The sequence below is a fragment of the Homo sapiens genome, chromosome 18 (assembly GCF_000001405.40).
Source record: "Homo sapiens chromosome 18, GRCh38.p14 Primary Assembly".
In the NCBI taxonomy this organism is placed as follows: Eukaryota; Metazoa; Chordata; class Mammalia; order Primates; family Hominidae; genus Homo; species Homo sapiens.
The window spans coordinates 26,059,827-26,072,356 of record NC_000018.10 but is presented as its reverse complement, the minus strand read 5'-3'; the positions used below and the strand labels follow the sequence as shown (position 1 = coordinate 26,072,356).

At 34.4% G+C, this 12,530-nt stretch overlaps 1 protein-coding gene across 14 annotated transcripts in view; it reads left to right on the top strand.

Annotated features, from left to right (window-relative positions):
* Positions 1-12,530, top strand: part of SS18 (SS18 subunit of BAF chromatin remodeling complex) — a 74,967-nt gene that overhangs the window by 18,863 nt on the left and 43,574 nt on the right. Inside the window, exon 1 of one of the 14 annotated variants that reach the window (XM_047437769.1) lies at positions 3,820-3,863. The exons of the other annotated variants lie outside the window; for them this stretch is intronic. The gene's annotated coding sequence lies outside the window, so the exon portion shown is untranslated. Of the gene's footprint in view, positions 1-3,819; positions 3,864-12,530 lie in introns of those variants that run through there. 14 annotated transcript variants of the gene reach the window in all.

Below are 12,530 nucleotides of genomic sequence, written 5' to 3'. Positions count from 1 at the left end.
TTAACTCAGTCTAGCAATCAAAGTGCTGGGATTACAGGTGTGAGCCACTGTGCCCGGCCAATAATTAATTTGTTTTTTATTATTCCTTTTTTTTCTTTCTAGTTGGGAAATCTTACATATTTACTATTCTTTTAGTGGTTACTGTATAGATTATAATATACATCCCAATCAAAGGACCATAAAATACTTCATTTCTGTTCCTTCCCTCAATGACCTTTTCGTTGTTGTTGTAATGTATTTTAAGTCTCTATATGTTTCCACAAGTGGTTGTTATTACTGTCTTTTTTTTGAAGTCAGTGTTCATTAGATCATCCACATAGTTACTTACCATTTCTGATGCTTTCTGTTCCTCCTTTCATTTATGACCTTCTAGCTTAGATCACTTTTTTTTTCACCTCCTAAAGAACATTCCTTAGTATTTCCTTTAGCACTGCTTTGCTGGTGAGACATACCTTCAGTATTTTTGTTTTGTTTTGGTCTGGGTCTGAAAATGCCTTTATTTCACCATCATTCTTTTTTTTTTCCTCTGGAGACAGTGTTTCACTCCGTCACCCAGGCCAGAGCATAGGGGCATGATCATAGCTCACTGCAGCTTCGAACTTTTGGGCTCAAGAAATCTTCCTGCCATAGCCTCCTGAGAAGCTAGGACCACAGGCATACACCATCATGCCTGGCTGATTTTTGTATTTTTTGGAGAAATGGGGTCTTATATCGCCCGGGCTAGTCTTAAACTCCTGGCCTCGAGTGATTCTCCTGCCTTGGCCTCCCAAAGTTCTGGGATTGTAGGCATGAGCCACCACACCTGGCTCACCATGATTCTTAGAAGATATTTTCCAAGGACAGATACTAGGTTAGTTGTTGTTTACTTAGCACATTACATTTATCCTTGCGTTGTTTTCTGTCTTGTATCTATTGAAAATTCAGATATCAATGTAATTGTTGATATTTTGAACATAATCTGCTTATTTGACTGCATTTAAGAGTTTTGCTTTGTCTAGGATTTTTAGTGGTTTTAGTATGTTTAGGTGTGGATTTCTGTTTTCTTAAATTTATTTTTTCTCACACTGTAGTTAGATATTGGAAGATTTCTTTCTAATTATCTTGCTTGGTGCCTGTTGGGATTTCTGACATCTGTAGGTTCATGTCTTTCATCAGTTTTGGGAGTTTTCAGTCATTATCTCTTCAAGCAAATAATTCTTCCATAAGACTCCAGTTAAACTTAGACTAGACCTTGTAACTGTATCTTTATGTTTCTTAATCCCTTCAGACTTTTCCAACCATTTATCATTCTAAGTATATTTTTTTCTGACCAGTTTTCCAGTTCATTTTTCACTGGGCCTAATCTGTTATACCTATCCCTTGAGTTCCTAATATATATTTTTCTATTTCTAGAATTTCTATAAGTTCTTTTTTAGATCTGCTCTGGCATTTTAAAAATATTTTCTGCTCTTTGCTGAGAGGATGTTACTAACTATAGTTTGAGATACTTGAGTCTGAAAAAACTATTATGTTTTAGGATGATTTTACTTAAGTTTTCTAGAATGGGGTTTTTCACTTCATTTCAGTTGAATGGGGTGGGAATTAGAAATGTGTTCATAATTATATATAAGTTTAACTTTCAGTTTTTTCCCATGTCATCTCAAGAGAAGAATTATTTATTTATAGTTCTATTTCGTGTGTTTGGAACTGGCCAAGATCGAGCACTAGCTAGAATCTAAAAGTCAAGAATCTAAACACTGAGAATAAAAGGAGAAAAATAACTTCTAATGCCAGTGCACTAACACTTAGGCATTTTACTTCTTAGTTTCAGCCTTGTGTCTTTTTTCTTAATGCCAAAGCATTATAACTTTATAAGGGAACTACTCTTCACCTTACACATATTTTAACAGACTTGTTTTCTTAATTTTAAGCCAGGAGACAGCAAATAGCAAAAATGGGAGAAGTTGTTCTATAAGCAGACATATATACATGCAGTGTTACCTGACAGCCAAGATGGCATAGAAATAGACATAAAATTTATAAAAAGCTGACAATTCAAAATGTGCACTACTCTGGCTCCATTTAGTGTAGATAGATAGGGCCCTATCTTGGTAAACCTTGCAGGCATCATTTAAATGTTGGTTCTCAGTTGGTGTTTACTTTCTGAAACAACAAACTATTGACATACTTATTTTCATAATTAGGAACCATTTTTAATTTATTTTTATAGGTTTGTGGGTACAAGTGCAGTTTTGTTACGTGGATTTCTTGTGTGGTGGTGAAGGCTGAGCTTTTAGTGTACCCATTACCCCCAGTAAGGAACACTGTACCCAATAGGTCATTTTTCAATCCTCATCCCCTCCCCGCACCTAGGAACAATTTTACCAGTAGAAAGTGTGACTATTTTTTTGTGTATGCAGATTTTTCCTTCTCAAACATACTTTGAAGAAATGGCATTTCTATGTTTTAATTTCATATTAGTTACTGTTAATTTATTTTTTATCATCTGCTAGTATTAGCATATACAAAGTGGTAGGCACCATTTGTTTAGAAAAGAATTATGAGAGAACAATTTCATTCAAGAAAAGTTTTTATTCATTAATGTTTCTTTGAGAAAAACTTGGGGAGAAAATAGTTCTTTCTATTGTGGTAGTTCATTTTAAGGCTCACAGTCTGAAAATATTTCTGTATAATCAAACATTTTTAAGCTAGAAAGAACCTAGATAATCATATAGTCTAGTGTTTCTTAGCCTTGGCTACACATTAGAATTATGTGGAAAACTTTAAAAAACTTCCAGTAACTTAAATCGATCTGGGCTGAGGGCCCTGTCACAGTATTTCTTTCTTTTTCTTTTTTTTTTTTTTTTTTTACTTTGGTAGGTCTTTGTGGCAGACCTGTCACAGTATTTCAAAAGCTTCTTAGGTAATTCTAATGTACAGTTAAGTATAAAGAACCTTAAATTTATCTGCCTTTCAAATGGATTATCCAATGACATTTTGAGAATTTCAGAAAAATATTCTGAAAAAAATTCCTGTTCCTGTGGTGTCAGCTTCATTTGATACTGTTTAACATGAATGATTTTTATAATATGAGAAAGATAATACTTATTATATATTTTATTAGAATGCTGTAAAACAGTTCATGGTGTCCAACATGTAAAGGTACTCAGTGAATATTGGCGATGATGACGATAATAAAGATATAGGTACACATTGGAGGATATCAATGGAAAGGGGCATTAGATTCTGGAGTATTTGAAGTAGAACTAACAGGATTCAGTTACTGAGTAGATATAAAGTGTAGAAGAGAGTGTTTGGAGACTCAACTGATGGTGATGCCATCCACTAAGTTGAGTACATAAAAGCATGTCTTCATTTTAAAAGGCTGAAAGCTGATTGGAATTCCTTATCTTGTTTTTACTTAATTCATTGTGAGTACTGCGTTTGAAATATCCCCAGTTTAGCCAAATATACTTCGTGAATTTTAAATTTATTTAAATATATACTTAAAATTTTTGTAAGTATCTTTACAAAGATATCTGTACAAAAAATAAAAGTCTGACCTGTTAAATAAAAATTGATTGAGGCTATGTAGTCTTACATTTTATATATTGTTTGAAATTAAGTTGCATTTTTTTTGGTAACATCATATTTGACATTCTGAGCAGAGCCCTTGGGTAGCATGTGATTAGCTGTTTCTTCCACACGCTTTAGTAAAGATGATAATATTAGTCTTCAGGTTCAGCAACTGTCCTGGCAAAGCATCTGTTAAGGTACTTCTCTGACTAACATTTGGTCTTACAGAGTTTCCTTTTTACAGGTGTGATTCAAGTAAGGTGAAGGAACACATGCTTAGAGCTGTGGAACATTTTGAAGATTAGCAGGTTGTATTACATTTGTAACATTTACTAAATTTTTAGCATAGGTAACTTTGTTATGGTTAGAACACCAAGGACTACAAAAAGCCATACAAAAACCTACTGTCACTTCTGTCTTCTACCTGCTTTTTATGCAATAAAAGCCAATATAAATATATACCTTGCTGTTTTCTACACAAGTAGAACTTGCCGTGTACCCTGTTCTGTACCTTGTTTTTTAATTACAGTAAAAAAAAGAAAGCATCTATATTCTCATTTAAAGTTATAGAAATAACTTTTCTTAAAATTTCGTATTTTAATAATGTTTTCAGTGTTTGATAAACAGGATAATGTTGTCTTATTTCAGGGGTCCCCAAACCCTAGGCCATGGACTGATACGGGTCTGTGGCCTGTTAGGAACCGGGCTGCAAAGCAGGAGGTTAGCAGCAGGTGAGAGAGCATTACCGCCTGAGCTCTGCCTTCTTTCAGATCAGTGGCAGCATTAGATTCTCAGGAAGGTGAACCCTATTGTGAACTGTGCATGCAAGGGATCTAAGTTGCATGCTCCTTATGATAATCTAATGCCTGATGATCTGAGGTGGAACAGTTTTATCCCGAAATCATCCCTCGCCTGCCCCTCCCACCATCCGGCCACCATCAGTGGAAAAATTGCCTTCTACAAAATCAGTCCCTGGTGCCAAAAAGGTTGGGGACCACTGGTCTTTTTGGTAAGCATGATAATACTATTTTCTCCTTTGAAACTTATTCTTTAGCTTCCATGATAGTTATCTTTTTCTCTCTCTGGCTGCGCAGCTCGTCGTCTTTACCACGCCCATTAAATGCTGCTACTCCATTCTTGAACATTTTCTCGTTATATGCACTCTTCCTGGGAGATTTTATCCATACTCATGGATTCCTATATTCTTGACTTCAGGTGTTCCATCTAAACATTGATGGTTGCCAAATACAGATCTTTTTTATGAGTATGAGCCATGAATCCAGCTTCCAATAGACATACCCATTTGGACATTCCACAGGCCTCTCAAAACAATATGGACAAAACTCATTTCTCCTCAGTTCCCCCTCTGTTGTTCCCTGCTGTAAAAAGGGGGAAAAAGTTCACAGCCAGTATTTTCATATTTTCTGTCTCAAGCAAGTAGTATTAAAAACACTTAGTTCTCTTAGTCAGAAGCTTGGTGGTCATCTCAGAGTTCTTCCCTTTCTTTCACCTGCCATAGCTTGGTGTCCAAGTGTTTTTCTTTCACTGGTACCTAGCATGGTGCTGCACAATTAAAGGTGTCTAGTTAAAACATTTTGATATTTAAAAACAGGAAGCAAGACTGTGGGTGAAATGTCTCTGAAGTGTTTATTTTTGTGAGTTTTAGTACAAATTAAGACATCAGTATCTTTCTGATATTGAGGTGAGGAAGGCTGTGTTGAGAATAAAAAGCAAAAGAGAAAACTATAAAGAAAAATAATTGATTCCTTTAAGAATGTATAACAAAACTTTTTATATACCAAAAAATTCTATAATTGAAAGACAACTCAATAGTTATTTTACAGTATAACCTGCTGTTTTAGAAATACTTTGTATTCAGAGTACATTTGAAACAGCAGAAGATGTGATTACTTCTGCCGTTAAGGATTATGGAAAGTTCCACAAAGGCAGTATTCCTGTATTTCATAGATAATTTGTCTATGGGGGCACATTTTTCTGAATTGATACTATACGGAGCATTTTACCAACATCATTGCCTACCTTCTTTTTCAAATATCTTAGGAAAAAAAATCATGTTTACTGTTTGCTGGACAGTATATATAAAATTCAGAAGACTAATTGAGTCCAGATAGGTAAAGAGATTGGATATATCTTACTGTGAAGAACAGAAATGTGTGTGTGTGTGTGTGTGTGTGTGTGTGCACAAATTTCCAGAACTATATTAAAATCAGCGAAAGTAACTTGCAAAAATGCTAGGGAACTGAAAGACTGTCCCTTTGACATTAGGGATGACTCCATGGTTTTCAGAAGGGCAACTGGAAAGATGGAATTACCGTCACTGAAACTACGGATAAGGCGGCTTGAGGGTGAAGGGAAATATCAGAGATTTCATGTCTGATAGACTTCAAATGGAGATGTGAAGGTGGAGTAGGCAATTTTGATAATTAAAAAACATGAAAGTTGGCAGAATGATACTGCCTCCTGATTTAATTCTCAAAGTGTTCATACTGCACAATCATTTTTCATTCAACAAATATTTATCGAGTACCTCTATTTGCTACTAGATGATTGGGGGCTCCAGTAATAAGCAAATATAATCATGGGCGCAGTCCTTAAAGAACTTAAACCTGTAATGGGGAAGACATACCTTAAATCATTACACAAACACATTTGAAATTACAGCCGTAGTAAGTGTTATGAAGGAAGAATATCTGAAAATGTTGGAGCAGACAGTGGGGACCTTATAATTCTGGTGCTCAGGGAAAAAGTGACATGAGGTGTAATTCACATGCAATAGAATTCATTCATTTTAAGTATATAGATAGATTAGTTTTGACAAATCCACGTAATCACCACTATAATCAAGATAACAATGTTTATCCCCAAGAGGTTTTCCAAATATCCCTTTTCTGCCCATTTTTAAATTAAGTTCTGTGTATGTAGACTGAAAAAAAGGGCTTAAAATTTTAAAATGATCATATATATATATATATATATATATGGATTTGTAGGCATTCTTTATATATTCTGGAACAAGTCTTTTGTTGGCTATATATATTGCAGATATCTTCTCCCAGTTTGAAAATTGTCTTTTTATTCTCTGTGGTGTCTGATGAACAGTTTCTAATTTAAATGAAGTCCAACTTGCCAATATTTTGAAGGGATAATTCTGTATCCTGTTAAAGAAATATTTTCCTGTGTCATAGTCATGATAATATGAAGATACATGTATATTTTCTTGTATAAGTTAGTTTATTCATGATCCATTGCAAATTAAATTTGTATATAATCTGAGATAGGACTCAAGTTTCTTCTTTTCGCCATGTGATAGTTAGTTGATCCAGCACCATTTATTGGAAAGATCATTCTTTAACGATTAGATGTAAGTTGTTTCGTTGTGACAGTATATGTGGGTTGTTTCTTAATTCTCTGTTCTGTTGGTCTGTTTGTCTGTCGTTGTATTAATTATGTCTTATTTATTGTAGCTTGTGATAAATCTTTGTATATTCTAGTGTTCTTCCCCAAGATTTTCCTGGCCATTCTGGGTCCTTTGCATTTTCATGCAAAGTTTAGAATTGGCTTGTGAGTCTGCAAAAAGTCTGTGGAATTTTTATTGGGATTGCATGGAATCTTGAGGTCAACATCAGGGAATTTGATTATCCTCTACAATATTATTAATAAATCTTCCAGTCAACAAAGATGGCATATCCTTCCATTTTGTGAACTCTTTCTCTCAACAGTATTTCAGTGTAGAGGTATTGCACATTTGTTAGATTTATTCCTAGTGTTTTGAGTTTTTTTGGATGCTATTATGCCATCAGTTTTTAAATTTCACTTTCTAATTGTTTTTTGGAAATATATAGAAATATAGTTGATCTTTATATATTGACCTTAGTTATTATATTCACTTATTCTAATGGTTTATTATAGGTTCTCTTGGGTTTTCTATGCACTTAATTATGTCATCAGCAAATAATGACAATTGTAAGTCTTCTTTTTAAATCATTATTTCTTTTTACTTTGTTTTCTATTTTCTTTTAGTCTTTATACCATTGATTTGTGTTGGTTTATTTATTTTGTTGAATAGAAATGGTGATGTATATTCTTGTCTTATTCCTGAATTCAAGGGGAAAGAATCCAGTATTTCATTAGTAAGATGACATTGGCTGTAAAATTTTTGTTTTAAGAGTGCTCCTTTTATTCTTAGTTTCTGAAAGATTTTATTGTGAGTAGGTATTGAATTTCATTAAATTCTTTTCTTTATCTGTTGAGATGATTATATGGATTTTACTTTGATGATTTGGTGAATTACACTGATTAATTTTCAAAAGTTAAATCAACTTACATTCCTGTAATAAATTTCATTGGTTATAATGTATTATCTTTTTAATAAGTCTGGATTTGATTTGCTAAAATTTTGTTTAACATTTTTGTGTCTGTGTTCATGAGAGATGTTTTGACCTGTCATTTTCCTTATGTCCTTGTCAGGTTTTGGTAGTTTCATAAAGAATTGGGAACTGATGCCCTTCTTTTTGTTTTCTGGAACAAAAAATTGGTGTGAGGTATTATTTATTCTTAATGGTTTAGAAGAATTCTCTATTGAAGGTATCTGAGTCAGGAGATTACTTCAGGGAAAATTTTAAATGATGGATTCAGTTTCTCTAATAAATAGAGGATTGTTTCAGTTTTCTATTTCCTGTGTCAGTTTCTATAAGCTATGTTTTTCAAAGAAGTTGTCCATTTTACCTAAATTATTAAATACATTATCATAAAGTTGTTCTTAATATCTCATTTTCCTTTTACTGCCCATATTAATATCCCCTTATTTTCCTTTTACTGTCCATAGCATATGTACTGATGCCCCCCCTTTTAATTTTTCTAAAATTGGAATTTCTGTCTTTTCTTGATTATTTCTGCTAAGGGTTATTAATTATTAATATTCTCAAACAGCCAGCTTTTGGCTTAATTTTCTCTTAATGCTTTTTATTTCATTGAGTTTTGTTCTTGTTTACATTATTTCCTCCTTTGTACTACTTTGGGTTTGATTTGCCATCTTTAGCTACTGAAAATAAAGGATGATAGTGTTATTTTTCAACTTTCCTTCTTGTAAATATGCATTTTAAAGCTATAAATGGTCCTGTAAGCATAGCTTAAACTGCATCTCACAAATTTTGATATTACATTTTCATTACCAATTAAAAATATTTTAAAATTTCCATTGTGATTTCTTCTTTTATGAATAATTTTGTTACTGATTTCTTATTATTATTATTTTTTTCTTTTTGGAGATGGAGTCTCGCTCTGTCGCCCAGGCTGAAGTGCAGTGGCATGGTCGGCTCACTGCCAGCTCCACCTCCCGGGTTCACACCATTGTCCTGCCTCAGCCTCCTGAGTAGCTGGGACTACAGGCGCCCGCCACCACGCCTGGCTAATTTTTTGTATTTTTAGTAGAGGCAGGGTTTCACCTTGTTAGCCAGGATGGTCTCGATCTCCTGACCTCGTGATCCACCCGCCTTGGCCTCCCAAAGTGCTGGGATTACAGGCATGAACCACCGCACCCGGCCTACTGATTTCTAATTTAATTCCACTGTGCCCGGCCTACTGATTTCTAATTTAATTCCACTGTGCTCAGAAAATATATTTTATATGATTTCAATCTTTTGATATTTATTGACTTGCTTTATGGCCCAGTATGTGATTCAGTTCAGTCAACATTCCTTGAGTACTTGAGAACAATGTGTATTGAACAGTTATTGGATTCTGTAAATACAAATTAGGTCAAACAAATTGGTTACTAGTAATGTCAAAATTTTTTTATATTCATAGGGTTTTTTTTCTTCTATACATTACTGAGAGAAGTATCTTAAAATCTCCAACTGTTATTTTGGATTATTCTGTTTTTCCTTTTAGTTCTGTCAACTTTTACTTTATAAATTTTTGAAGCAGTGTTGTGAGATGTATACACATTTATGATTGTTAAACATTCCTGTTGAACTTTTATCGTAATAAAGCATCTCTGTTTATCCCTAATAATTTAAGCCAGCTATTCAGTATTAACGTAGCAACATCATCATACTTTTAATTAGTATTTGCATGATATCTTTTTCCATTTTTTTCTTTTAATATATCTGTTCCCTTGACTTTAAAGTAGTTGTGTTGTACACAGAATATAGTTGTGTGTTTTGAAATCCAATCTAATGTATTTGTTATTTAATTGGAATGATGGGTCCATTTACATTTAATGTAGAACATGATATAGTAGGATTTGTGTCTTACAAGGCAGGTATTTTTTTTCTATTTGTTCCTTTCTTTAATCAAGCATAATTTTTTCTATTTGATTTTACATATAATTTTACAGTGTACATCTTTAATATGTGTGCATGTATTTTTAAGTAGTTGCCCTAGAGATTAAAATATTCTTCATTAAAATATTAAAATATTAGTTTATCAGGTTGTCTAAATTTATACTTTTAACACTTGTTGAAAAATACAAGAACCTTATAACGGTTTAATTTCATTTATCTCGCTGTCTTTTTCTTTTTTTAGACAGTCTTGCTCTGTTGCCCAGGGTGGAGTGTAGTGGTGTGATCTTAGCTCACTGCAACCTCCGTTTCCTGTGCTCAAGCAACTCTCCTGTCTCAGCCTCTCGAGTTAGCTGGGATTACAGGTGCCCGCCACCATGCCTGCTAATTTTTGTATTTTTAGTACAGATTGGGTTTCATCATGTTGGCCAGGCTAGCCTCGATCTCCTGGCCTCAAGGGATTCCCCCACCTCGGCCTTCCAAAGTGCTAGGATTACAGGCATGACCCACCTCACCCGGCCTAACCTAGTCTTTTGTGTGTCTTGTCCTATACTTTCTTTTTCTACATTTGTTTAAACCAGTAGAGTCATTATTACTGTTATTTTAAATGTTAATATGTATTTATCCACATATACTTTTCCATTCCTCTTAACTAACTCCTCTAGTTCTATGCTTCCATGTGGGGCCATTTTCTTTTAGCTTGATATATTTTGTTCTCTTATAACAAGTGTTTTCTTAACTTTTGTTCATCTAAACTTATTTTTATTTCATCTTCATGTTAGAAGGTATTTTTTTCTTAGTGTGGAATTCTGGGCTGGTTGGTTGATTTTCTTTTTTTTTTGTCTTAGCACTTTACAGATGTCATTTTGTCATCTTCATTTTCTATTATTTCTGATGAAAAATTAGTTGTTAGTTTTATTGCTGTTCCCTTCCAGGTGATATGTCTTATTTTCACTGACTGCTTTTAAGATTTTTTCTGACTTTAGTTTTTAATACTTTGATATATCTGGGTTCAATTCATTACTTCATTAAATCTCTGTTTTGCTGTTTCTAAACTAATGATTTCTTAATTTCAGTGATTATATTTTCCTTTTCTGGAATTGTCATTTGACTTTCTTACAGAATTACAGGGCTTTGCTGAAATTCTCCGTCTGTCCTGTGTTTGTTTATTTATTTATTTATTTTTTGAGACGGAGTCTCGCTCTGTGGCCCAGGCTGGAGTGCAGTGGCACGATCTCGGCTCACTGCAGCCTTCGCCTCCTGAGTTCTAGCAATTCTCCTGTCTCAGCCTCTCTAATAGCTGGGCCTACAGGTGCACGCCACCATGTCTGGCTAATTTTTTGTATTTTTAGTAGAGACAGGGTTTCACCGTGTTAGCCAGGATGGTCTCGATCTCCTGACCTCGTGATCCACCTGCCTCAGCCTCCCAAAGTGCTGGGATTACAGGCGTGGGCCACCGTGTCCAGCCTTATTTATTTCTTGAACATACCAATCACAGTTATTTTAAGTCTTTAGTAACTCCATAATCTGTTTTTTTTTTTTTTGAGACAAAGTTTTGCTCTGTCTCCCAGGCTGGAGTGCAGTGATGCGATCTCAGCTCACTGCAGCCTCCACCTCCCAGGTGCAAGCGATTCTCGTTTCTCAGCCTCCCAAGTATCAGGGACTACAGGCACGTGCCACTGCGCCTGGCTGATTTTTTTTTTTTTTTTTTTTTTTTTTTTTTTTTTTGGTATTTTTAGTAGAGACAGAGTTTCACCATGTTGGCCAGGCAGGTCTTGAGCTTCTGGCTTCGAGTGATCTGCCTGCCTTGGCCTCCCAAAGTGCTAGGATTACAGGCATGAGCCACCACATCTGGCCTGGAACTCCAAAATCTGAATGACTTAGGTGTCTTTTTAAATTTTCTGTTATTTCTCTTGGTTGTCCATTCTTTTTTTAATTGAGATACAGTTTATATAAGATTTACCATTTTAACCATTTTAAAGTACAGAATTCAGTGGTTTTTAGTATATTCACAATTATGTAAGCATCATAACTATCTAATTTCAGAATGTTTTCACTACCCTAATAAAGTGAAAACTGTTGGCAGTCAATCTCAATTCTCCCCCTCTCCCCATCCCCTGGCAACAGCAAATCTACTTTCTGTCTCTCTGAATTTGCCTAGTCTGGACATTTCTTATGAATAGAATCATACAATTTATGTGGCCTTTTGTGTCCATCTTCTTTCACTTGGCATAATGTTTTCAAGGTTCATCCATGTTGTAGCATGTATAAGTATTTCTTCTTTGTGGCTGAATAATATTCCGTTGTATTCATATGCCACGTTTTGTTTATCCATTCATCAGTAGGTGGACATTTGAGTTTTTTCCAGTTTTTAACTATTATGAATAATGCCACTGTGAACATTTGTGTAGAAATTTTGCGTGAATGTGTGTTTTCAATTCTTTTTAGTATGTACCAGGAATGGAGTTGCTAGATCATATGGTAACTGTTTAAGTTCTTGAGGAACTGTCAAACTGTTTTCCACAGTGGCTGTACCCTTTTACATTTCCACCAGCATATATGAGAGTTGCAATTTCTATACATTGTTCACAACACTTGTTATTTTTCTGGACTTTTAATTTTTATGTTATTGCAGCTATCAAAGTGGGTGTTGGTCATTTATTTTTGTTTTTT